The sequence below is a fragment of the Homo sapiens genome, chromosome 3 (assembly GCF_000001405.40).
Source record: "Homo sapiens chromosome 3, GRCh38.p14 Primary Assembly".
NCBI lineage: Eukaryota > Metazoa > Chordata > Mammalia > Primates > Hominidae > Homo > Homo sapiens.
Window position 1 is genome coordinate 185,816,079 of NC_000003.12, and position 27,333 is coordinate 185,843,411.

General features: G+C 43.3%; 1 protein-coding gene across 31 annotated transcripts in view, besides 4 other annotated features; it reads right to left on the reverse strand.

Annotated features, from left to right (window-relative positions):
• The window catches only part of IGF2BP2 (insulin like growth factor 2 mRNA binding protein 2), a 181,913-nt gene extending 172,949 nt beyond the window's left edge, over positions 1–8,964 (reverse strand). For 17 of the 31 annotated variants that reach the window (NR_138486.2, XR_007095624.1, XR_001739984.3 and 14 more), the window contains exons 1-2: positions 8,705–8,964; positions 7,075–7,135 (exon numbers count right to left, since the gene is read on the reverse strand). Coding sequence is in view for 21 of the 31 variants with exons in the window: in XM_047447321.1 (XP_047303277.1) it covers positions 7,075–7,135; positions 8,705–8,882 (239 nt within the window). In the remaining 10 variants the exon portion in view is untranslated. Of the gene's footprint in view, positions 1–4,933; positions 5,065–7,074; positions 7,136–7,259; positions 7,336–8,704 lie in introns of those variants that run through there. The other 14 variants (XR_007095627.1, XM_047447322.1, XM_047447323.1 and 11 more) reach the window with 3 other exon arrangements.
• Positions 6,967–7,830: an enhancer, noted in NCBI's record as "H3K27ac hESC enhancer chr3:185540833-185541696 (GRCh37/hg19 assembly coordinates)". NCBI's record gives its function as "activates a minimal SCP1, AML or CMV promoter by ChIP-STARR-seq in primed H9 embryonic stem cells {active_cell/tissue: H9 hESC(primed)}" and the evidence as "EXISTENCE:reporter gene assay evidence [ECO:0000049][PMID:30033119]".
• Positions 8,770–9,000: a silencer, noted in NCBI's record as "fragment chr3:185542636-185542866 (GRCh37/hg19 assembly coordinates)". NCBI's record gives its function as "represses an EF-1alpha promoter that drives an FKBP-Casp9 reporter gene in an ReSE screen in K562 erythroleukemia cells {active_cell/tissue: K562}" and the evidence as "EXISTENCE:reporter gene assay evidence [ECO:0000049][PMID:32094911]".
• Positions 9,012–9,281: a silencer, noted in NCBI's record as "silent region_14977". NCBI's record gives its function as "represses an Ori minimal core promoter by ATAC-STARR-seq in GM12878 lymphoblastoid cells {active_cell/tissue: GM12878}" and the evidence as "EXISTENCE:reporter gene assay evidence [ECO:0000049][PMID:35858748]".
• Positions 9,692–9,781: a silencer, noted in NCBI's record as "silent region_14978". NCBI's record gives its function as "represses an Ori minimal core promoter by ATAC-STARR-seq in GM12878 lymphoblastoid cells {active_cell/tissue: GM12878}" and the evidence as "EXISTENCE:reporter gene assay evidence [ECO:0000049][PMID:35858748]".

Consider the following 27,333-nt stretch of genomic DNA (forward strand, 5'->3'; position numbering starts at 1 on the left):
ACCTTTGCAACAGGCTGTCTGAACCCCGTGAAGAACCCACCCAGGAGATTCCTTGAGCTAGACTTTCATTCACCACATGGCACATAGTCTTGACCCGGGTGACAGTTCGCTGTCTAATCTGTGTGGCTCAGATGTTGAAAGAAATGTTTGTCTTGTTATGTCAGGAACACAACTGCCGAAAAAAGCAACATAACAACAACAACAACCCCACAACCTGCTTAGGTATATTCCCCACTTCTGTCTGTGGGCAAGCACAGAGATGGGAAGACGTGCAATGCTACCTTTAAAATTACCTCTATTTCTAACTATTTTTTTCTAAAAACTATAGCAAAGTACAGATCACTCAGACTGATGTAGCATCATTGCAAAGGTTCAATTCACAAATGTATTTTCATATATTTCTACCACCCTCGAACAGCATTCTTCGAACTTTACAACACATTCAGCTGACTTCTTTAATGTAAAACGTTAAATGGGGAGGAAGTACAGTGGAGCGAGACTCAGGGACCTCAAAAGACCTGGGTTCTAGCCCTACTACTTAATTAACAGTCATGTGGCCTAAACAAATTATTAAGCTTGTCTGGGGCTGAGTTTCCTCATCCAAAAAAAGAGATAGTATCAATTGTCCTATTTTTCACAAAATTATTATTTGGAATAAATGAAATAATGTGTCAAAGAGGCTGGAACAGCATCAGTACTGTATGAATATTAAGATGCAGGCAAAAAATACTCCTCCCTGAGATAATACTACTACCATTGTTTAAATATCAATACATGAAATCATCAACCTTTCTGATCACATTTAAAACAAAAATTTAAAAATTCAAGCTTCCCACTACAGCAAATCCTTACTTTGAGACACATTAATTACATGACAATAAGAAAAACTGAAAATATAATTCTTATTGCAATGTTCCCATACAAATTTTTCTGGTCATTAGATGCAACATTTATTTTGATATGGGTAAATAAGAGAAAGCTCAAAACATACATCAGAACTCTTAATTTTCATTTATCAGACTTATTAAAATATCTGCTTTATTTATGAAATGTCCTTGACACTAAACAGAATGGGAAAATCCTATCTGAATGTTCACATTTTAAGAAATAAAGTGTAGAACAGATAAATAATGAGGAATAAACAAAATGTATCTCAAAAATACAGATATTATTTAGTGAAAAGCAGAGGCTTGGGGAGGAGACATAACTATCAAATGATGGAACAGGGCTAGCTTTTGGGCTTGAATGCCTCCTATTAATGCAAAAGCATCCATTTTCACTGTTGTACTTATTCTATCTCAATATACCATCAAACTCTAAACCAAATTAAAGAAATAATTATTGTATTCCTTCTTCCCTTTGGCAGCCAAGCAACAGAATCTGAAGTTTTCTACAAAAGAAAATAATTTTTCTTCACTATTTTATGGAGAGACCAGACTAAAGTCCATGATCAAAACAGGAAAAGTAAAACCTTAAAAATAATGCTCTGAGCACTCTGCAATTTTGCTGCCTAAAATAGAACCCATAGAGTCCATGCCACCAAATGAAAATTATAAGTTTGTAAGCATGAAGTCAAATTATAAAGTAAAAGATTTAAAATGTTTTAATGGTGATGATAAATGGGAGGAAAGACTTATCTTCATTGGTAGGTGTTTGCTGTTTATTTGCTATTATTTGTTCAATGATACTGCTTTTGAATGAATACCCAAAATAATTTGAACATGAATTTGAATATAAGAAGGATAAAACTTTACTAATAAATTCTGGGGGCATGTTTTGTTAAACAGAACACTCCCATCTCTCAATTTAAGAAGTTAATCATAGCTTTTGAGAGATAATGCTTTTGACTGAAAGTTTTAGAGCATGAACTCTTTAAAAATTAGCTTAGCCAAGCCCACTAATTTCTAACACTGAAAAGAACACTGAAGACTTTTGTGATGTTTAAATATAATTTTTAAAAATATATTTTGAAATGTATAATTCAACATTTTTAAGTCTCCAAAGAAACTATTTCAATATAACGCTTCTTCTAATGAAGTTTACTCACTGAGAGCACTTGTGTTATGCAAAATACCATATTGCTTTTCAAAGTATAGAATTTCTAAATGGAAGTGCATATTCAAATCTTGAATTTTCTGACACTTAAAAAAATGGCTTATAACATCATCAAAGCCTTCACAGAATCTTTTGTGACAGGGGATAGCCAAGTGAAAAGGAAGGAGGGAAGATGCTGCACTGATGGTCCTTTCAGTAGCATGCTCACTGTAAAACCTACTCCAGGTACCTGTGACTTGGCTTTCACAAGGTTAACCACCTACAAGAGTTATTCATCACTCAAGGCAAATATCACTGCACTGGATTCCCTTTGCCACAGGTTTCAATCACCAAGCAACTTTCTTGAGCCTTGTCAAGACTGAATTCCAGAGCAACTGTTGTTCAATTAAAGATCTCCTGCTGCCTCTTCATACCATCTACCTGAAACTGTCCCCAACAAAAAACATATACACACACTTGCACATACACCACTGAAACAGAGAGAGGAAACATTTAGCTCAAATAATATCCTCTAACAATTCTGACCAATTGCTCATCTACTTTTGAGGGTTTCATAGAGGACTTGGAAGAGTGATTCAGCTACAGACAGCAAATATTTAGAAAAGCTTGAAAGTATCAAATATATAAACAGTTCCTGTAGAAATCTGGTTTTCATAGCTTTTCTGACTTTTAATAAATGTGCCTAAGTCACTATCCTTTTATGCATAATTCAAAATCATTTACATTTCCTCAACACAGTACTTGAAAATCTGGAGCAACCTCCACACATTAAAAAAACACAAAAACCATGTGTTTACTCAAAATAATTGTGAAATGATAATTCTGATATGCAATTTGTTCTAAATCTTCTTTTAAAAATATTTTAAAAGTTAAATGCTTTTTCTCTTAAAGAAAACATATTGCACTTTAGATCATCAAGTATAAAAGGCTTTGTACAAATATTACTAATATCCTCTCATCTTCTGTCTACCAAACGATAATCTCAGGTTAACATAATAAAAAACAAAATGCTTAGAACATCTCTTACTGGTCATCTTATACCTGGCCATAAGTATAAGGAAACACATGAAAAGCACCATTTGACAGCTGCACTACATATCACAAATCACCTTTTGGAATTAATGTTTAGGTGTTTAGCCATTAAACAGTTTTATAAATTGTTATATTACAATTTAAAATTTTTATGTATTTGGTGAATTGAAAAAAAGCAAGCAAACCATAAAATCTATTTTGATGTATAAATCTCATTGGTTTCTAATATTTAATTAAATGATTTAAAAGCATCAAATAACCAGTCTTTTAAAAATGTAAACTAGAATTTTTAACCAATATCACCAAGTTCACTTTTTTCTGTATTGCTTCTATTTTAACTCTAATACTTATCTCTTTGAGGTTACAATATGCAACTCTCTAGGGTATTACCTAGCACCATGTGAAAAAATTACTAACTTTTTTTTTTCCTGGGAAACTAAAAGTTTAACTCCAAAGCCAAATCAAAAGTAACCTTACAGTTTAATATATATTCTGTGTTAATATATGTTATATCTACACATGGAATCTATGTAAGTAAATGCAGGTATTAATTTCTAAGTCAACAAATTCTTGAAGTAGGAAGGTACCACACAATTTTAACCTAATAAAAGTCATTTCTGTTTCTAGAAAATTAAAAATTGATGCAGCAAAAGACTGCAGCAGGGAGGGCCTGAGATTGGATGTTTTTTTCTTCTTTTTGGTATTTAATTCAACCATACACAATGTAGTACATACAAGCAAAATACAATTGAGATACTGTTTTCTTTAACATTCCTATAGGAGACCAAATTCATTTGCATTGGAGTGAACACAATTACTGATTTTTAACTCATGAAAGACAAATTCATAGCTTTTTCCTACACTATCTCATACTATTCACACCATCTCAGTGAAAGAATGTCTAGAACCACTTAGTTACTTCCTAGAGGTGGGCAGAAACTGCATTTTTCAAAGTTTTGTTTCTCACAGAATCATTCAACTTGAGGTACAAAAGCACATTCAAGTTAGCATGTCTTAGTTCAAAACAAGGCATGCAGTATGTGTGTGTGTGTATGTGTATATATACACATACACACACACACACACACACACACACACACACACACACATAATTTTTAAGTTAACCTTCAACAACACCAAAAATGAAATTTCTGTCAAGGAAGTTTCCAAAACTTTTAACAGCATTTTAAAGCTTACCAGTTTTTTCCTCTTTAATAAACATTTGACCATATGTACTACCAAGAAATATTAATAGAGAAAAAAAGATTCAAACACTTTTATTCAACAGAGCCTGAAACCAACTTACAAAGAGAAATAAATGCTTTATGTGCGGTTGACATTAGAATAATTTGCATTTAATAAGAATAAAACATACGCTGCAAAAAGAAAAGAGTTTTCTATTTCTAAGTGACCCTGAGAAAATAATGGCATCTAGTCTATTATGCTATTATAAAATGATGCCAGAATATTTAACAAAAGATACAACTGGTAAGCAAATGGCATGCCAATAATTTCATAAGATAAAAACATCTCCTCCCAAACTATCATTAACCTTAAAAAATCTATTTGAGATACAGATAATCAAACTAATTCTTGAGAAATCAAAGAAATCACTACAATACAAAGAAAATGCACTCAATTGTTGAATGATTTTTAAGTAAGCAAGCAATGAGGATGAACTATTTTCTTCCCATTTTCATTTCAACTAACACAAAAACCACATATAGAATTGACTTAACACTGCCAAATTTACTTCTAACTTGTTAATATTCACAGAAATGCAACACAAGAACACCAAAATAGTCTCCATATAACATAAAAGCTTTGGTTTCAAATGTCACAGTACCCTGGATTTAGAAAGCCATCAACGTGGTAGTGTCCAGGACATGAGAACATACAGCTGCTTCATCCCTGAAGTCTGATCTCAGTACACAATACCGGTCATTAGCTATCTCTCCCTTAGCCTGCAGTACAAGTAGCTAATTTCTGCATTTAAACTAATAAAGGAAAGGAAAAAAAAATTAAAACCATCCAATCAGAAATGATGTAACTCCTCTAGAGCAGCAGCTTATGCATACATTTGGAATGTTAAACATTTTCAGTGTAGTGAATCATACACAGCGCATTTTAATCTACCTCCTGGGTATTTCACATCGCCCACATGTTCAAAGAAATCATCAACTAATAGGGCTGTATAAATCCTAGATTGCTCTTTATTTAACTTATACTAAAAACTGGGGACATGCCTTCAATTCTGAACTCTTAAACAGAACAAAATTACTTAAATGACACTCCGGCTAACAGCAAATAATCTGCATTTTGAAAGAAAAAAGATAAAAAGTAGTACATTTGTGAGAAGTTTTAGGAGCTGTTAATAACTTTAGATAAACCAGTATTTCACATATACCACAAAATTAAATAATGCACACTGCAACATGAAATGAGACACCAACTAAGATAAAATTCTAGTAATTTTTTTTTTTACTAATTATAACCCCCAAAAGTATTCACAACCGCAAACAGCCAACAGAATTAGACATTTATAGAAACATACTGTATCAAATACTTGGGGTAGTTATTTCACTGTTCAATATATTCATTCTGCAAATTTTCAAGTGTTGTGAGATAGTAATTTATATTTGTTGTAAATAGTTAATATATCAGAAAGCTTCAACTTGGATTTCTCAAGCAAAAAATATTATTTTAAAGAAAAGTATACAAATTTAGAATACCTTATTGAAAACCAATTGGTTACACGTTACATCTTTCCCAATAGAGGAAAGAACTAGCTTAATATTACACATGAAACTGCAAATCATAACTCACCTTTTTTAAATTAAAAAAAAAACAGGATTTAAGTAATTTTCTCATATGCCACAGAGATTATTTGCAAACAAAAGTTATTCTGTTGCTTACTTAAAATAAAACATATCTGGAAATGTGGCACACAATTTTTAAAAATCCCTTCAGCAACACATCTAAGTATTTATAAAATTAGGGTAGTTTGTTTTAAAATCTACTCAATCCTGACAAAAATCAGGTGGTTAAACTATTGACTGATAAACTGTAAAGGTGGTCATCAAAAACTTCATTGAACAGCTCCAGTCCAGCTACTTAATGACTAATGGTGAAGAAATGTATGTGAATGGGATATAAACTAAGTTTCGACACACAGCAGAAGAAAAAAATTTAGAATGAGTAATAAAGGGCCCAAATTTAAAGTCCACAATAAACTTTAAACAAAGATGTTTTCTCTTCTCTTCTCATGTTAGCAAATCACTGTGGAGAAATCCAACCTCCACAAAACTTGTTACTCCGTCATTAACAACAGTGCACTTAAATATAACTATAGATTTCACAAGGGTATTTATTTTAGCCGCAAACATTTCTTACAAGCAACAACAACAAAATGCTCAGAAGCTATACTCAGTAGTCTCAGTGACTGAAAAAGTCCGGCTTTTAACTGCCATCCAATCCAAACAACCCACTTCTTTAGAAAGCTATGCAAAATATTGACCCCTTACTGAATTATTTTACTATTCAACATTAAACTATCTAAAAGAGAAAAGTAATTAATCGCTAAGTTTAGTTAAGCAATTTAGCTGACATAGTAAATATTTACTCTTCACATCTCACAGGAAGTCTTGACAAGCATTTGCTGCTATTCTGCTGGGGGTAGGGGCGGGAGGTGGGGGTGGGAGGCAATTTTTGATAAACAAGTTACAGGGTCCCAGCGAACTGAACATAGCTGGTGTTCGCCACCCCGACCCCCAATTAGGCACCAGATATTTTCCAAGAACAGTAAACACCTTATATAATGAAAGTAAAAAAAAAAAAAGTAGCTTTCTAAACTATGTATCTCCACTAACAAAACAAACAAAAGCCCCTTTAAAAACTACCAAGAGCACGTTTTTTAAAGCTGTGTGTACGTTTTTTACTTATACGTAAGGCCAATCGCAAAAAAAAAACTAAGCAAAGTATATTTACCTTAGCTTTTTAGAGACTGAGTAATCAACTTCCATGATTTTCCCATGCAATTCCACTTTACCTTTAAAACAGAAATTAAAGCACTCAGAACCTTGCTTAGATCAAGCCCGCGGGGGTCTAGGGGGGGCACGCACGGAACTCCACGCTCGGGCTCCGCCTTCGGGCGCCCCCAAGGGGTCTCCTACCCGGATCGAGCTGGGCGAACTTGGTTCCCAGTAGAAAGAAAGGTGGGCGCCCCGTGTCTCGGGACAAGGCGAGGAGGGTGCGAGCCCGGGTCGGACCCCAGGTATAGCCGTGGGTGGCATTACCGGAAAAACAAATTTAATAAAGAGCGGCGCCAATTTGAAAGGATGAGCTCATTTGAAACTCAAGCTGCAGGGCTGGCGCGGCCCCGCTGCTCTCCCGGCCCCCACCTCTCCATTCCGCTAATCCGGGGCCCGAAGGCTCCACCGGGCTCCCCTCCCTGCCCTCTCCTCCCGGTGGCCCCGAGAAAACGAGCCGAAGCCCCCCGGAGTCCGCCGCAGCGACAGCCCTGTCCCTGCCCGCTCCTGGGTGTCACCTTGGCCTCGCCGCCGCCCCGCCCCCACTCCACACGCCGGTGGGGAAGGGGCTCCCGCCGGGCCGGGGTTCGGGGGGCGCCGGCCGGGGCCCGGGGGCCCGCGCGGCTGGGAGCGGAGCGTGTGCTGGGGAGAGTTGGGGAGTGCGCGCGCGCGAGTGTGTGTGTGTGTCGCTCTCCGTCTCCTGTCTGGGCTCCAGCGCGCTCGCGGGCCCCCCGGTCGCCTCTTTCCCGGTTCTCAACCCTGGCCCCCACCGAGTTGAGACAGGGCACCTCGTAAAAAGGTGCTTCTGGCCGAGCGGGAGGCGGGGGGACGGGCGGCGGAAAGCCCCCAGCCCCGAGTTCTTCTCAATAAAATCGGACAAAAAATTCAGAGAAAAATAGGAGCGCTTGAGAGAGCAAGCGAGAGGGGACTGAGGTTCGGGAAAGGACCGAGGGGATGTGCCGTCGTGCGAGGGCTGGGGCTGGGGGAGCCCCGAGATCTCGAAGGGGGTCACCAGGGTGGCGCCGAGGGGGTGCCAAAAGTGGGGGGCCGTGGGGCGAGGTGGGGAGGGGGCTCGAAAGGAGAGTGCGGCTCAGGAGACGCCAGAGGGCGAGAGGTTCTGGGCACGAGGCACTGGAAGAGAGAAGGTCCGGCCGGGGGAGGAGGAAGAGACGCTGGATTTGGGGAAGGGGGGACCCTGACAAAGGGGGTGACAGGAAGGTCAGGGGAGAAGTGAGACAGGGGACGCTCAAAGGGTGGGGGGCGGGGAAGCTCAGAGCAGCCCGGGGCGCCAGGCGAACGAGGGGTGCCCCTAAGGAGCCGGCGAGCCTCGGGAGCCTTCGGAGCGGCACGGGGGGCGCCCCAAGGCTGCGGCCCCGAGGGCGAGGGCAGAGTCCAGAGCTGTGGGGGGAGGGGAGCGGGCCGTCCCAGGAGCGGGCCGGCGGCGAGAGTTGAGGGTCTGGTGCGTGGAAGTGAGCGTGCGGGCGCGGGAGCCGCCGCCGGGCGCCGCCCGCCGGACTCGGCCTCCCTCCCGGCGCCGTCCCGGCCTGAGCGGGGCGAGGCGGGGGGAGGGGGCCGCGCTGAGTGCTCACCCGAGAGGGTCTCGATGGCGCGGATGGCCCAGTTCTGGTCGGGGTAGTCCACGAAGGCGTAGCCGGACTTCAGCAGGACCTGTCCCGCCAGGGGCAGCTTCCTGTCCCCAAAGAGCTGCCGGAGGTCGTCGGCGGTGACGGCGGGGCTCAGGTTCCCGATGTAAAGCTTGTTCATCATCCGTCTCTTCCCCGAGAGCCCGCGGCTCCCCCGGCCCGGTACCCGGCGCTCCTCGCCTCCTCCGCTGCCCTCGTCTCTCCTCCTCCTCCGCCCCCCCTCCCCGCCCTCCGCCCGCCCGCCACCCACCCCCACCCTCAGCCTGGCTCCCCCCACCGCGGCCGGCCCGGCCCGCCCGGGGGCAGAGGCGGAGGCGGGGACTCGGCGCGGCTGCCTCCTCGGGGCAGAGTCCCGGGCCGGGCGGCGGCGCGCGGACAAAGCGCTCTCTCTGCCTCCCTCTCTCTCCCTCTCAAGGCGGTGGCGGGAGGAGGAGCAGCGGCGGGCGGCGGCAGCGCACCCCGCGTGTGTCTGTGTGAGAGTTTGTACGGGCGTGTGCGCAGCCGAGAGGGAGCGAGCGAGCGCCCCCTCCCCGCCCCGCGCCGCTGCGCCCCTCGCCTCGCGCCCACCGCGCTCGGCAGTGGCTGCTCGGGCTCCGGCCCCGCGCCAGGCGGGCGGAAGCGGGTCGCGGCCCCGGGCTGGGGCTCCGGGCGCCGGAACCCCGGGCGGGCGCGGCGCCGAGGCCGGGCGAGCGGCGGGGCGGGGAAGGCGCGCCCCGGGCGCGGGTGGGAGCGCGCGAGGGGGCGACGGGGAGCCGCGGGCGTGGGAGGGAGAGGGGCTGCGAGTGAGCGCGGAGAGGGGTGTGCGCAAGGTGGACCGGATGTGAGTGCGCTGCTGCCAGGGCAAGCGGGAAGGTGTGTCCCGGAGGTGAGAGGCGAGGGCAGGCTGGGAGACAACAACTTTCGCAGCGACTTGGCCGGGGCTGGCGCCCTGCGCGTTCCCGGGCCGTGCGCTCGCTCTGAGACCCGCTCCCCGCCACGCTCTCTGAGGTGACCGAGCGGCGCGTGTGGTCGAAGGATCGCGCGCGGGAGTCGGGACGCCTAGGACCGGGGTTGGCCGGGCCCTCGCGGACCGTGCTCGCGGGGAAGTGGTTCCCGGTCCCGGGCCTCAGTTTCCCGACCGGGGAGGGAAGGCGGAAGGCCAGCGCGGAGTCACGTCCTCTCCGCCCAGACCCCGCGTGTCCGGAACCCCGCGGCAGGCGGCAGCCTGACGTTGGCAGCTGCTCTCTATTCTGGGAAGTGCCGAGGGCTTCCCGGGCGGCGGCGGCGAAAGCCAGGTGGCGGGTGGGGAAACGAACGCCGAGGGGCCAGGGACTGCGGCGAGGCCGGAGCGCTGGGGTCAGCGGCCGGGGGACGGATGGTCGCCGCCCGGCTGCGCGGCCGGTTCAGCTCCAAAGCCAGGGTGGTGGGAGGCGAGGGTGGCTGGAAGCGGAGGAGCGCAGGCTGTGTAGGAGTTCCCCGAGCACTGGGAAGGGCCCGGAGAGGAAAGAGGTCCTTCCAAGCGGAGGAAACAACGTGACCGACGGAAGAGGCAGGGTTGGGATGAGAGCAGGCTGGAGCCGAGGGGCTCGGGCAGGAGCCAGACAGGCTAGAGCGGGCTGCAAGTTCCGGGGCCCGGCTGGAAGCCTGATGGTTAGAGCCTGGTCCCAGCCAGGAAATGAAATTCTACAGGAGGGAGAAGAATGGCGGGATTCAGAGGTGAGGAGGCAGAAGAAGATTCCAAGCTCTGGACCTCTGGGGGCCACTGGGAGAGTTGAAGGTTTGATCGCGGATATGTTGGGTTTTGTGAAGGCGTTGGGGCGCGGGTGCGGGGAGTGTCCTTGGGTGGAGAAGTCACGAATGTAGGAATGGAACAAGTTCGGGTCTCCTGACTGGGTCGTGAAGTAGTATTGTCTTTCCCAAGCTTTCCTGTTGATGAGCGGCGTGGAGAGAATGGGGCTTGCTGGATTTTGTATTTTCCGCAAGTACTCCCAGGTGATTCTGGTCTGGTAAACACTGTTGGAGTGGAAGGCCTATCTGCCCCGGACTCAGACCTTCTCTCTGCCCCCATCTTTGTGCCCTGAGATGTTCCAGCATTCTCGAGCCTAAGTTTCTTCATCTATAAGGAGATAAAATAACCAGTCCTCGCAGGGCTGTTGTGAGGGCTACAAGAAGGATAACTGCCTAGCGTGTTGAGACATGGGTGGTCAGACACTTAATGCCTGTTTCTCTTCTTTCCCCCAGGAATTCATGAACTTTTAAAATACTTTATTCTACAGAAGGAGATCTTCTTAACTAATTAGGTATCCAGAGGAGAAAGTAATGAATCCATTTTCACCTAGATATTTGCAGTTATTTGAATTCTGGCTTTTGTCTCAAGTATTCACATATTTTTTTCTCTCTCTAGAAAAAGAATCGGATTTTACTGCTCCAGGAGTTGAGAATGAACTTGGTTACTAATCCCCAAAGTAATAGATAAACTAGGTGTGGATGCTTCTTTACTAAATTGTATCAGAGAATCACAAATGAACATGACTTGTGCATGCATAAACCTCAGCAGACTGAACTAACCATCTTTAGATTATTTACACATGTGCTCCTAATTGATATGGTCACCTTTATATTATAGGACAGCATATTTGCTTATTATTCACAGGTACATGTAAAGGAGAAACGAGAGTGGCAGGAATAGTTGGCCTCATTCCTCTCCAACAGGTCAGAAAAACTTGTTGTTGTTGTTGTTGTTGTGTAGCATTTTAGATACATCAATTATTTGGTCTTACTGTGAGACGAAAAACACATTAGACAATGTACAGATTCTTGGCAGAGGTGGTGTATCAGTCCATTTTCATACTGCTCTGAAGAAATGCCCAAGACTGGGTAATTTATAAAGAAAAAGAGGCTTAATGGACTCACAGTTCCACACGGCCCAGGAGGCCTCCTCATAGCGGAAGGTGAAGGAGGAGCAAAGGCACATCTTACATGGGGGCAGGCAAGAGCACGTGTGCAGGGGAACTGCCCTTTATAAAACCATCAGATTTCGTGATACTTATTCACTATTGCAAGAACAGCATGGGAAAAACCCACCCCCATGATTCAGTTACCTCCCACCGGGTCCCGCCCATGACATGTGGGAATTATGGGAGTTACGTTTCAAAATGAGATTTGCGTGAGGACACAGCCGAACCCTATCAGGTGGCTTCTGGTGAACTCTTCTTACCCTGCTTCACCAAGTCACTTTGAAATTTTTTTTTTCAGAGAAATAATTGCTCTTTGCTGCAGTTGTCAGCTGTCCTGCTGGAATTTTGGAAACAGCAGGGCTGCAGAAGGAGGGCTTGAACTGTAAGTGTGATGGAGGGCATGCTTCCACTACACCCCTGGTTTGCAGCATCTACAGTGCCTTATCTTAGAATGCAGAGTTATTTTTCACATGATAGAGAAGGGGTTGGGGACCTTTGAAGACAATAGGGGACAGCCTCCAAGTGCAAAGTCAGAAATTCAGAGGCCTTGCTCCTGCCAGGCAAAACTTATTTTCTACCTGTTTTCTCTCGAGTTCCCCTACTTATCCCTCCCCCAGAGAGCTGAAACAGAGACCATCTTGATTGATCTAGACTTGGTTTACACCTGATAAGCCAAGATTTTATGAATGTTTAACAGAGGTCAGAAATTTGGAGAAAATCTTATAGTAGGCATATTACCTTTTAAAGCATGAATTAACTAATGTTTTCCTCAAGAGTTTCAAAGGCAGTACAGATCCTCATTGTTTCCCAGCGATTCTTTTGGGCAAGACAGTGATAAGGTGGCTGGGACAAGCTTTCTTAATCCTTCTTTTCAGGTAAGAAAACTGAAGCTCAGGAAAGTATAATTTTTTCTTAATCACATGGAGGGCCTGAAACACACCTGGAAAAAACATTTTAGTCTAACAACAAAGAGTTCATAAGTGTTAAGTCTTTTTCTTTTCTTTTTTTTTTTTTTTTTTTAAAAAAAGTCTTACTGTCACCCAGGCTGGAGTGTGGTGGGGTGATCATGGCTCACTGCAATCTCAAACTTCCAGACTCAAGCAGTCCTCCCACCTCAGTCTCCCGAGTAGCTGGGACTACAGATGCATGCCACCATGCCCAGCTAAAATTTTTTTTAAGAGATGGGATCTCACTGTGTTGCCCAGGCTGGTCTCAAACTCTTGAGCTCAAGCGATCCTTTTGAACCTACAAAGCTATAGCGGAATGTTTTTTTGCTCAACTGATAATGTAGTCAGTATAACCAGTGTCTCTAGATAATGTGAGAAGTTGAAAGAGAAAGTGAAGCCTATTTGCTGGAAGGCTGAGGCAAAGCCAACATTTGGAGGTAATTCTTAGAAGGTCCTGCACCTGCCTGTGCATCAGGAATGATTTGGTAGTAGGGTAATGTCCCTTAGACCAGTAGTCCCCAACCATTTTGGCACCAGGGACCGGTTTCATGGAAGACTATTTTTCCACAGACAGGTTGGGGGGTGGTTTCAGGATGAAACTTCTTCACCTCAAATCATCAGGCATTAGTTAGATTCTCATAGGGAGCATGCAACCTATCCTCACATGCGCAGTTCAAAATAAGGTTCAAGTTCCGATGAGAATCTGATGCCACCGCTGATCTGACAGGAGGTGGAGCTCAGGCAGTAATGCTTGCCTGCTCCTCACCTCCTGCTGTGTAGCCGGGTTCCTAACAGGCCACAGTACCAGTCCATGGCACCAAGGTTGGGGACCCCTGCCTTAGACACCTTTTCTTGAGTTAGCATAAGATAATTGCCTTATGCCAGTTACTTCATCTATTTGAGCTTCAGATTCCTCATTTGTAAACTAGCCCAATTGTTTCCTCACTATAAACTCTAGCCTACCTCCCCCTGCAGTTTCATATTATGCAAATGCTAGGTCATTTCAGAATTCCGTCTTTTTGCACATTTGTTCTCTTTCCCTGGAATGCATTTCTTCCCCTGGTAAACTCCTGTCTTCCCCTGACTTGGCCCCATGATACACACAGCACTTCATACAGATAAAAAATATTTTGTCTAGTGATAGTTGTACAACTGTGAATATATTAAAAACCATTGAAGTGTATTTTAAGTGAGTAAATTTTACGGTATGTGAGTTATATCTGAATTTTTAAACATGGAGGATGGAGGGAAGCCTTCCCTACTACATGGTGGGTTTCTGGAGGAATAAGATCTTCTCATTTTCCTGTTAGAATTTCCTTTGGCCCGTATGAAACCTGGTCCATAATAAAGGCTCGGGTAATATTGTTGAATAAACAATGACCATCTGAGGTTTGCTCTAAGGGATTAAACGAAGATGTATGTGATGGTATTTATCTTGCACAATCCCCTTGTTGAATTCATTTATTCATGGCACTGTGTAGTGCTAAGCACTGAGGATACAGAATAAATAAACATCATCCTGATCTCAAGGAATTTATGGTCAGTGGAGGAGGCAGATATATAAACAGACCATAGCATGGCATTAGAGGTGCCACAGTAGACTTTGTGAGCATACAAGATAGAGCATCCCATTCAGCCCAGTGTTGGGGAAGGGAACATCAGGAAAGAATTGATTTTGGTTTTGAAGGATAATTAGGGATTTACTAGAATACAAGACGTAAGAGAGGAAATACATCCTAGGCAGAAAGAATAGCATATGCAAAGGCACAGACACACAAAGTATCTGTTCCACATTTGAAATCCAATCCAAATGTTAACTCAGAAATGTTTGAGAACAAGACAGAAGAAATAATGCAAAACAAAAAAGATTCTCAGAATCAAAGACATGGATCTCCAGATCAAAGAGTTTGCAGAAGGCCCAGCAAAATGAATGATAGAAGATCTAAAAATCACATCATCATGAAATTCTGAACTCAAATTATAAAAGCATCTGGACAAAATAGGTCGCATACAAAGGAGTTGGAACAGGAATGAGAATGTATTTTCCTAAAACAGGAAACTAGGGAGTCAATAGAGCAATGCCTTTAAAACTGAGTGGAAATTATCTTCAATCTAGAATTCTAAACCTAGTGAGACCATCAGTTTAAAAAGATATGCAAGAATTCAGACATGCCCGTTTTGGGGAAGCTACTGGGAGATAAGTGCCAGCAAAACCATGGAAGAAGATTACATGGGATTTGGGAAATAAGGAATCCAACATGGTAGACTCTGAATTTAAAAATCCAGAATGCCTGCAATGCAGCCATCCCACGAGCAACCAGCACAGATTGGAACAAGAGGATAGATGGCTCAGAATGAGGTCTTCAAGGAACAACAACAAAATGGAACTCATTTCTGTGAGTGCATAATGATTATTTCTGATAGGATAGCAGACATGTTGGAGCATTTGGAAAAAATTAATCACAAGTATATGGAAAGCCAGACAAGTGGGAAAACAAGGAAATCATTAACTGAAGGAAAAATACGTGGTCATACAAGAAAGGAGCAATGGTCATAGGCTCAACAGTGAAAATGTTTGTACAGTCATAGTGTAAACACTGATGTATTATCCAAGCTGCATAAAGAGATCTTATAAATCAATTAGAAAAAGACAACCATTGGAAAAACGAGCAAAGTGTATGAATGGGCTAATTCACAGAAGATGAAACTCAAGCTCAACTCATGAGTAATTGGGGAAATTAAAACTATTCACTGGCTGGGCATGGTGGCTCATGCCTGTAATTCCAGCACTTTGGGAGCCTGAAGCAGGAGGGACTGCTCGAGGCCAGGAGTTCAAGACCAACCTGGTCAATGAAGTAAGACCCAGTCTCTACAAAAAAAAAAAAAATTAAAAATTAGCAGAGTGTGGTAGTACATACCTGTAGTCCTAGCCATTCAGGAGGCTGAGGCAAGAGGATTCCTTGAGTCCAAAAGGTTCAGGCTACAGTGAGCTATGATCATGCCACTGCACTCCAGTTTAGGTGACAGAGCGATACCCTGTCATTTATACATACATATGTACATAAAATCAAATTGACAAAAATCTTAAAATTCTGATGGTTCAAGGGTCTTAGTGAGGGTATGGAGCATCAGAAACAGTCATCCACTGCTGGCAAGAGTATACACAGGTACAATTACTCTGAAGAGTAATTTGTCAGTATCTAGCAAAGCTGAAGATACAGGCCCTGAGTACGGCCTGGCAGTCTTTCTCCAAGATGGTTATTTCTTATCTCACTTTCAGCTTCTAATTGATCATCTCCACCCAGGGTCTCAGCTGATAACCCTGCTTTCTATTTCACTGAGAGACTAGAAGCAAGCAGAAAAGCACTTCAAATATTTGCCCACATACTTGCATCTGTGCCCATAGACTCCATATTTCTTAAATTATAATGGATGACTATGCATGATTTAGAAGAGAGGTAAAAACTGATGACTCCAGAGAAAATAAACATCCACACCCTTTGTGGAAGAAACATATATGACCATTCATTGTAGCACTGTGATGGTGAAAAATTTAAATGTCCATCAACAATAAAACTGGTACATTGTGGCATAGCTATAAATTGACTACTATATATTGAGTCAAAGGGGACACATGTTTATTCATTTTCTCTGGAATCATTACTGTTTCCTCACTTCTGGATGAAATAAAATAGGCAACGTGTCAACATTAACCACCTAAACAAAAACAAACATATGCTAAGTGAAAAGTTATAGAAGGATGTTGGTTATACGAAGTTTTCTTTCTTTCTTCCCTGCCCCCCAGACCCACCGGAGACAGGGTCTTGCTTTGTCACCCAGGCTGCAGGACAATGGCATGATCTCAGCTCACTGCCACCCCTGCCTTCCAGGCTGAAAGATTCCTCCCACCTCAGCCTACTGAGTAACTGGGACTACAGGTGTTCACCACCACAATGGCTAATTTTTTGTACTTTTGCAAGAGATGGGAGTTTCGCCATGTTCCCTATGATTGGTCTCGAATGCCTGAGCCCAAGCTGTCCATCCTCGTTGGCCTCCCGAAGTGCTGGGATTATAGGTGTGAGCCACTACAGCTGATCTCTACAAAGTTTGAAAACATGCAAAGCAATTCTGTTGTTGATATGGACACATTTGTGTGGCATAATTGTACAAAAACATGCATGGGAACAGCAAACTCTAAATTGGGGATAATGATTACCTTTAAGGAGGGAGAAAAGGGAATAGGGGGAGGTGGAAGGGCACAGATAGAATTTCTGTTTTTTTAATTTAATTTTTTTTTTTACACGGAGTTTCACTCTTGTTGCCCAGGCTGGAGTGCAATGGCGCAATCTTGGCTCACCACAACCTCTGCCTCCTGGATTCAAGTGATTCTCCTGCCTCAGCCTCCCGAGTAACTGGGATTGCAGGCATGCACTACCATGCCCGGCTAATTTTTATATTTTTAGTAGAGAGGGAGTTTCTCCATGTTGGCCAGACTGGTCTCGAACTCCCGACCTCAGGTGATCTGCCAGTCTCAGCCTCCCAAAGTGATGGGATTACAGGCGTGAGCCACCAAGCCCTGCCAATTTTTGTTTTTTAAAAGTAGGTGGCAGGTACATGGATGTTTAGTTACATTTTTATTACTTCGAGACAGAGGTTAATTCTTGTCAGATGTGCATTATAATCACCAAGAAAACCTTCAAAAATACAGATTCCCAAGACCTACCATGAGAACTCCTGAATCAGAATTTTCAGGGTAGAAGCCCACGAATCTATTTTTCTTTTGTTTTGTTTTACAGTACGTTCTTAATATGCTTACCCAGAATCTACATTTAAAAAAAAAGTATATGTGTGTGTATATATACACAATAATATTACAAGAAGTCCCATATACTCTTTACCCAGATTCCCCAAATGTTAACATTTGTTTTATCTTTTATGTTTCTCTGAATCATATGCCTAAATACCTCAGTTTGTATCTGCTTAAAAAAAAAATTAGGCCGGGCACGGTGGCTCACGTCTGTAATCCCAGCACTTTGGGAGGCTGAGGCGGGTGGATCACCTGAGGTCAGGAGTTCGAGACCAGCCTGGCCAACATGGTGAAACCCCGTCTCTGCTAATAATACAAAAATTAGCAGGGTGTGGTGGCGCGTGCCTGTAATCCCAGCTACTCGGGAGGCTGAAGCAGGAGAATCACTTGAACCCGGGAAGCAGAGGTTGCAGTGAGCCAAGATCACGCCATTGCACTCCTGCCTGGACACAAGAGGGAAACTATGTCTCAAAAAAAAAAAAAAAAAGAAAGAAAGAAAAGTCTATTCCCAGTACAATGATAAAAACCAGTAAATAAACATTGATACTGTAATCTGCAGACTCTTCAAATTTCAAATTTTATGAATTGTGTCAATATTATTGCAAAAGAAAATCCCAGGCTGGGTGCGGTGGCTCACGCCTGTAATCCCAGCACTTTGGGAGGCCGAGGCTGGCGGATCACGAGGTCAGGAGATCGAGACCATCCCGGCTAAAACAGTGAAACCCCGTCTCTACTAAAAATACAAAAAATTAGCCGGGCGTAGTGTCGGGCGCCTGTAGTCCCAGCTACTTGGGAGGCTGAGGCAGGAGAATGGCGTGAACCCGGGAGGCGGAGCTTGCAGTGAGCCGAGATCCCGCCACTGCACTCCAGCCTGGGCGACAGAGCGAGACTCCGTCTCAAAAAAAAAAAAAAAAAAAAAAAGCCCAAATCATTTGTTGTGTATGGTTACCTAGTCTCTTTACTCTCCTTTAATTTGGACAGTTCTTCAGTCATTGTTTGTTTTTCATGACATTGATGTTGATTACTACGGGCTATTTATTTGGTAGAATGCCATTGAATATGAGTTTGATGTTTTCGTATGATTAGATTTATGTGCTGTATTGTCTTGCAGGAATGCCACAGAGGTTATAATTGTGGTCAGATAATGTGCATTGTGTCTGGAAGCACTTGTTGATTGGTCCCATTATTGGTGATGTTAACTTTGCTCCCTTGGTTAAGACAGTGTGTCAGTATGTATCAGGTTTCTTCATTGTAAAATTACTAAGTATCTCTTGGGGAGATACTTTGAAACTATGTAGATGCTCTGTTACCCATCAAAATTTCAACCACGAGTTTTAGTATCTAGTGTTGAGTCTTGCTTGGATTATTATTAGGGTTGACAAGCGGTGATTCTGATTTAATCATTTCTTTTATATTTATTAGTTGACTTTCTACTGTAAGAGCTTTCCCTTCATCCCATGTATTGTATCACTGTGGACAAATGGATTCTTTTTTTTTTTTCCTTTGTTTGTTTTATGATGGAGTCTTGCTCAGTCTGGCTCTGTCACTCTGAACCACGTTGGCCAGGCTGGTCTCAAACTCCTGACCTCAGGTGATCCGCCCACCTTGGCCTCCCAAAGTGCTGCGTGAGCCACCACTCCTGGCCTGGATTCCTATTGTATTTAAAGTGACATCAATGTTTACTATTAGTAAGTATTTTGATGCTCAAATTGTCTCAGATTTGGCCAGCAACAGCCCCTTCAAGCTGGCACGTGTGAACTTCTGTTACTATTTTAGGTTTGTACTTTATCTGCCTTGCCTATAATCAACCACTTATCCAAGGAGTCTAGGTACTTTTTAGTATTTATAAACCAAGATCTGCATGCTACATATGCTCACTGCTACAGGAATATCATTGATTCTACACCCTCTTAGTTGAAGGAGGTAGGTAATAGATTATATACATAAACACACACATAGACCTACACCTGTCTATTCTGGCTAGTGCTGTATTAAAAATCACAAGTTTGGGCTGGGCACAGTAGCCCACGCCTGTAATCCCAGCACTTTGGGAGGCCGAGGCAGGTGGATCACAAGGTCAAGGGTTCAAGACCAGCCTGGCCAAGATAATGAAATCCCGTCTTTACTAAAAATACAAAAAAAAAAAAAATTAGCTGGGCATAGTGGCAGGCACCTATAATCCCAGCTACTTGGGAGGCTCAGGCAGAGAATCGCTTGAACCCGAGAGACAGAGGTTGCAGTGAGCTGAGATCATGCCACTGTACTCCAGCCTGGGTGACAGAGTGAGACTCCGTCTCAAAAAAAAAAAAAAAAAAAAAATCCCAAGTTCACGCTAATACTTTCTTTGTTTTGTTTTGTTTTGTTTTGTTTGTTTTTTGAGACAGAGTCTCACTCTGTCACCCAGGCTGTAGTGCAGTGGTGCGATCTCAGCTCACTGCAACCTCAGTCTCCCGGGTTCAAGGGATTCTCCTGCCTCAGCCTCCCGAGTAGCTGGGGTTATAGGTGCCCACCACCACGCCTGGCTAATTTTTGTATATTTGTTTATTTAGTAGAAACAGGGTTTCACCATGTTAGCCAGGCTGGTCTCAAACTCCTGACCTCGGGTGATCCACCCACCTTGGCCTCCCAAAGTGCTGGGATTACAGGCGTGAGCCACCACACCCAGCCCACACTGATACTTCTGATTCCAGTGAAACACTGTAAGATTCTCCTTCCCACTTTTCATATTTGTAACTCTTGCCTTCAATAGTGAGAAACCTGGCTCCCATTATCTACAATATATTTACTTATTCAATCTTACACACTTAAAATTGGATTGATTCATTTGCTTCTGCTGTTTCTTTTCTTTTTCTTTTCTTTTTTTTTTTTTTTTTTTGAGGCAGAGTCTCACTCTGTTGCCCAGGCTGGAGTGCAGTGGCACAATCTTGGCTCACTGCAACCTCCGCCTCCCAGGTTCAAGCAATTCTGTCTCAGCCTCCCAAGTAGCTGGGACTACAGGTGTGCGCCACCAAGCCCAGCTAATTTTTGTATTTTTAGTAGAGATGGGATTTCACCATATTGGCCAGGCTGGTCTCGAACTCCTGACCTCGTGATCCTCCTGCCTCGACCTCCCAAAGTGCTGGGATTACAGGCGTGAGCCACCAGGCCAGGCCGCTTCTGTTTTTTCTACTTTATTTCCCACCACCACCGCCCCCCCCCCAACCCGCCGCCATCCTAGTTGTTTTTCTTTTTGTTGTTAAGTAAAATATTAACAAGATTGCAAAACACAGAATGTATAGTCAGAGGAATTCCATCCCCTCCCCATTCCTTCTATTCTGTCCAGTTCATTTCCACCCAATCCCTGAGGGTAAACAATTGTATTAACTTCTGGTTTCTCTTTCCTGTGTTTCTTTTTTTCTTTTTCTTTTTTTTTTTTTTTGAGACGGAGTCTCGGTCTGTCGGCCGGACTGGAGCACAGTGGCGCGATCTCGGCTCACTACAAGCTCCGCATCCCGGGTTCACACCATTCTCCTGCCTCAGCCTCCCGAGTAGCTGGGACCACAGGCACCCGCTACCACACCCGGCTCATTTTTTTTGTATTTTTAGCAGAGACGGGGTTTCACCGACTTAGCCAGGATGGTCTCGATGTCCTGACCTCGTGATCCGCCCACCTCGGCCTCCCAAAGTGCTGGGATTACAGGCATGAGCCACTGCACCCGGCCTTTCCTGTTTCTTTTTACACAAATGAACATATACATGCATATTTCCTCCTTTCCTACAAAAATGGTAGCATATTGCCAATACTCTTTTCCACTTTGTTTTCTTCCTTTAACAAGAGATCTTGTATCAGTTCATAGAAATCTTTCTCCTTTTTTAAACAGCTGCATAATACTCATATGCCATATATATGGGCATGTCAGTGACTTCCAATATATTGTAATTTTACAAAAATGATGCTATGAATAACCTAGTATGTATGTATTGTTGGAGGTTTATCTTCAGGGTAAATTCCTAGGAGTAAGGTTGCTAGGTCAAAAAATAATACATGTGCACTGTGCGTGTGTATGTGTGTTAAATATTTATTGTGAAATTCTCCATAGAGATTATACCAGCTTGCATTCCACCAGCACTGTATGAGTGCCTGTTTCCCAACAGCCTGCCAACAAACTCTGTGATTACGCTTTTTACTTTTTGCCAATCTGATAAGTGAGAAATTGTATCTCAGTGTAGTTTTAATTTGTAATTCTCTCATTATGAGTGAAAACGAACTTTTTTTTCATGTGTTTAAAGATCATCTTTTTTGTTGTTGTTGGGGATACATTCTCTGTTCATGTCTTTTGCCCATTCTTCTATTGAAGAGTTTTGATCTATTTTTCTTCTCAACTTTTATGGTTATTTAAATATTATGGATGTAAGGTTTTTATCTGAGATACGTGTTACAAATATTTTCTCCCAGGTTTTAATTGTCTTTTTACATTGTTCATGGTGTTTCTTCCTATGCAAAAGGTTTTACTTTTATGTAGTCAAGTTTATCAATCTTTTATTTCATTTTATTTAATTTTGAGTTATAGTTAGAATGCTTTCCCCTACCCCAGATTAAAGAGAAATTTACTCATTTTAAAAATAGTATGTGTATGGTGATAGATAGATACATAAATAGATAGGTAGGTAGGTAGGTAGATCGATCGATTCTTTTTTTTTTTTTTTGATCGATTCTTGATCCACTTGGAATTTGTTCTTGTCGATGGTATGAGGTATGGATCTCCTTTTACCTTTTTCTTCTAAGTACCTAATTGTTCCAGTACCATTTATTTTAAAAATCCTTTTGGCCCAGGTGTTTTGAGACACCATCTTTATTACATACTAAAGTTCCATATGTACTTGGTCCTACTTCTGGACTTTCTTTTCTACTGGTCTATCCATATTACCATACTCTACTGTTGTAAAGGCTTTATGGTATGTTTTCATGTCTGGTAGGCCAAGTCCCCCTTGTGACTTTTTTCTTTTCTTAGTATTTTCCTGGCTATTCTTGTATGTTTGCCTTTCTGTATGAAGTTTAGTATCAGTTTCTTAAGCTCCATAAAAAGGTTGTTGGTGCAGCCATAAAAAAGAATGAGATCATGTCCTTTGCAGGGACATGAATGGAGATGGAGGCCATTATCCTTAGCAAACTAAATCAGGAACAGAAAACCAAATACCACATGTTCTCACTTATAAGTGGGAGCAAAATGATGGCAACACTTGTACACAAGATGAGAACAACAGGCTGGGCGCCGTGGCTCACACCTGTAATCCCAGCACTTTGGGAGTCTGAGGCAGGTGAATCACTTGAAGCCAAGGAGTTTGAGACCAGCCTGGCCAACATGAGGAAACCCTGTCTCTACTAAAAATACAAAAAACCAGCCAGGCATGGTGGCGCACACCTGTAATCCCAGCTACGCAGGAGGCTGAGGCATGAGAATCCCTTGAACCCAGGAGGCAGAGGTTGCAGTGAGCTGAGATCGCGCCACTGCACACCAGCCTGGGTGACAGACTCTGGTTTCCAAAAAAAAGAAGAAGAAGGGAAAAACACACACTGGGGCCTTTTGGAGGGTGGAAGGAGGGAGAGGATCAGGAAAAATAAATAACTAGTGAGTACTAGCCTTAATACCTCATGAAATAATCTGTATAAACAAACCCCATGACACAAGTTTATCTATATAATAAACCTGCACTTGTACCCTTGACCTTTGTGCGATTGACTTGATGGGAAGTTAACAGATAATGGCTAAAATTGAAAAATCTAAGAATGGCATAAGCAAATTAGTTAGAAATACATAGATAAATACCTAAAGAAGAAAGAGCTTCAAAAGTGAGGAGACTTTATTTTTTATTTTTATTTTATTTTATTTTATTTTATTTTTTGAGATGGAGTTTTGCACTGTCACCTGGGCTGGAGTGCAATGGCGCGATCTCGGCTCACTGAATTCTCTGCCTCCTGGGTTCAAGTGATTCTCCTGCCTCACCTCCCAAGTAGCTGGGATTACAGGCACACACCACCAAACCCGGCTTTTTTTTTTTTTTTTTTTTTTTTGTATTTTTAGTAGAGACGAGGTTTCACTAAGTTGGCCATGATGGTCTTAAACTCCTGACCTCATGATCCACCCACCTTGGCCTCCCAAAGTGCTAGTATTACAGGCGTGAGCCACTGCGCCCAGCCAAATGAGGAGACTTTCTTTAAAAAAATAAGGCTTTTAGTACATGTATTAGTCAGGCTCCTGGTAGGAAACAGATGGCTAACTTAATCAGGGTGATTAAAAATCTCATAGAAGTATAGTAGGTCTTCTGTGTCCTTGGATTAACCAGCCATGGATTGAAAATATTCAGAAAACAATAAAAATAACAATATAACAACAAATAATAATAGAAATAGGTCAGGTGAGGTGCCTCACATCTGTAATCCCAGCACTTTGGACAGCTGAAGCAGGAGGATTGCTTGAGACCAGGAGATTAAGACCAGCAACAAAGTGAGACCCTTTCTCTACAAAAAAAAAAGAAAAAAAGTTAGCTGGGCTTGGCTTTGCATACCAGTAGTCCCGGTTATCTGGTAGGCTGAGGCAGGAGTATCACTTGAGCCCGGAAGTTCTAGGCTGCAGGGACCTATGATCACACCACTGCATTCCAGCCTGGGCAACAGAATAAGACACCATTTAAAAAATTAAAAATAAAAAAAGATGCAAATTTTTAAAACAATATAACAACTATTTACTTAGTATTTACAGTGTATTAGGTGTTATAAGTAATCTAGAGATAATTTAAAGTATATGGGATCACTTTGGGAGGACTCACTTGAGGCCAGGAGTTTGAGACCAGCCTGGCCAACATGGAGAAACCCTGTCTCTACTAAAAATACAAAAATGACCAGGCGCAGTGGCTCATGCCTGTAATCCCAGCACTTTGGGAGGCCAAGGCAGGTGGATCATGAGGTCAGGAGATCGAGACCATCCTGGCCAACATGGTGAAACCTCATCTCTACTAAAACACGAAAAATTAGCCAGGCATGGTAGCCCGTGCCTGTAGTCCCAGCTACTCAGGAGGCTGAGGCAGGGGAATCGCTTGAACCTGGAAGGCAGAGGTTGCAGTGAGCAGAGATTACACCACTGCACTCCAGCCTGGCAACAGAGCAAGACTCCATCTCAAAAAAAAAAAATACAAAAAATACAAAATTAGCCAGGTATGGTGGTGCACCCCTGTAATCCCAACTACTCAGGAGGCTGAGGCATAAGAATCACTTAAACCCGGGAGGCAGAGGTTGCAGTGAGCCAAGATTGCGCCACTGCACTCCAGCCTGGGCAACAGAGCGAGACTCTGTCTCAAAAAAAAAAAAAAAAAAAAGTGTATGAGAGGATGTGCACAGGTTATATGCAAACACTACACCATTTTATGTAAGGAGCTTGAGCATCCATGGATTTTGGTATCTTCATGGGGGTCTTGAGATTCCGAAGAGGATACTGAAGGACAACTGTACTGTTTAGAAGTGTGGGTGGGCTTAAGGGACATAAACATGGGTTGGTGAAGCACCCTGCCACTAGAGCCACAGGGAGCAGTTTCAACTCCTTGGCCTAAAGGGTGACAAGAAGTACAGCTTAATGGAACAAAAAAAGCTATGGAAGAGGACTACCCAATAGAAATCATGGACTTGAGTAGAACGTAAGTCACTACTTAGTGCAGCATGACAGGTTGGGAACTGCAGAATAAACATTATCTTACTCTCCTCCCATTCCTGCCAGGGGCCCCTAATGGCTAAACTGAAGCAGAGGTGGAGAGCAAGGAAGCCTATTGGTGCCATTTATAATGAGCAGCTTCCAGAAACAGTAGGGCAGGAAGGGGTAGAGAGTGAATTTGCAGGTTCACATGGAAGAAATCCAAGCAGTACTATAATGCATTTAAATATATAAATGTACAGCCATAATAAAACAAAAAACAGTGGAGAAGATCAGGTATGGTGGCTCACACCTGTAATTCCAGCACTTTGGGAGGCCGAGGTGGGCAGATCACCTGACCTCAGGTCTCACCTAGCCAGCATAGTGAAACCCCATCTCTACTAAAAATACAAAAATTAGCCAGGCATGGTGGTGCATGCCTATACTCCCAGCTACCTGGGAGGCTGAGGCACAAGAATCACTTGAACCTGGGAGGCGGAGGTTGCAATGAGCTGAGATCGTGTCACTGCACTCCAGCCTGGGTGATAGCAAGACTAAGTCTCAAAAAAAAAAAAAAAAAAAAGTGAAAAAGCAACTTTTGTCAATGAATCTATGGTCTAAGGGCACATGAGTCAATTATAACAAAGATGGAAAGGTGGTATATGCCTGAGGAGAGATTGGAGACACTCCCAGTGAGGAAAACCAACAGATTCTCTGGAAATGGTGACCTTTGAGCTAGGGATCTAACTTATATCATCATATAGCAGCTGGGTGATGGATACTGGTCTATTCTTATGCAATAAAACATCTGTAGGAGAACTGAAGAAATCCCTCAAACCTCATGGTTTCCATTGTCCTGCTTCCTGTGGATATTTGCCTTTTCACATTTTTAAGGTTTTTATTGTTATAATTTTTCCAATCTATATTTTATATTGATGTCCTCAAGATGGAATGACTGATTTTGTACTATGCCCCTGGTATAGTGTTACGGACTTTAGATGCATGAGCTCAAACAAATATGAGGTTGATCTTATTATACCCATTTTACAGAAAAACTGTGGTTTGGAGATAAGTAACTTACCAAAGGACAAATAACTAGATCGAAATCACAATAAAGGTTTGACTTAACAGCTCCTCTTTTACCAGCATTCTAAATTGCTTCTCAATGTAGGGATTTCTGGCCAGATGTGGTGGCTCATGGCTGTAATCTCAACACTTTGGGAGGCCGAGACAGGAGGATCGTTTCAGCCCTAGGAATTCAAGACCAGACTGGGCTACATAGTGAGACTTTGTCGCTACAAAAAAATTTTAAAAATTAGCCAGGTGCAGTGGTGTGCACCTGTAGCCCCAGCTGCTCAGGAGGCTGAGGTGGAAAGATCACTTGAGCCTGGAAGGTTGAGGCTGCAGTGAGCAGTGATTGTGCCACTGCACTCCATCCTGGGTGCCAACCAGTCTCAAAAAATAAAAACAAAAATTGGATACAATTCCCAGGTTGCTTTATTAAGGTGCAAATAAGTCCATTTCTTCCTATTCAGTTTTTAACTCTTTTTCTCTCAGGGAATGGTTGAGCTAACACAATGAAGCCTTGGTTGTGCCTTGTCTAGTTATTTCCCTTGGATTTCAGATACCAACCCCTACCAAGAAAGAGTAGTTTAGAAACTTCAATATGCAGGCCGGGCGCGGTGGCTCAAGGCTGTAATCCCAGCACTTCGGGAGGCCAAGGCAGGTGGATCACTTGAGATCAAGAGTTCTAGACCAGCCTGACCAACATGGAGAAACCCTGTCTCTACCAAAAATACAAAATTAGCTGGGCGTGGTGGCGCATGCCTGTAATCCCAGCTACTTGGGAGGCTGAGGCAGGAGAATCACTTGAACCTGGGAGACGGAGGTTGCAGTAAGCCAAGATCGCGCCATTGCACTCCAGCCTGGGCAACAACAGCGAAACTCTGTCTCAAAAAAAAAAAAAAAACCAACAACAACTCATATTCCAGGGTCCCGCTCCTGGGGTCATCTAGACTTAAGGAACCCAGAAGTCTGTGTTTTTACTAGTGCCCCACACAATCCTGGCAGGTGATTCATAGACCATATTTGAGAAGTTATGGTGGAACCAAGTGTGCCCAGACTTGCTAAACATTGAGCATTGGAGAGTGGGGACAGAAAGGAAACTTGGGTTTGGGTTGTAAGCTGACTCATGGAAGGTACAGCCCATCTTTTCCTCATGGGT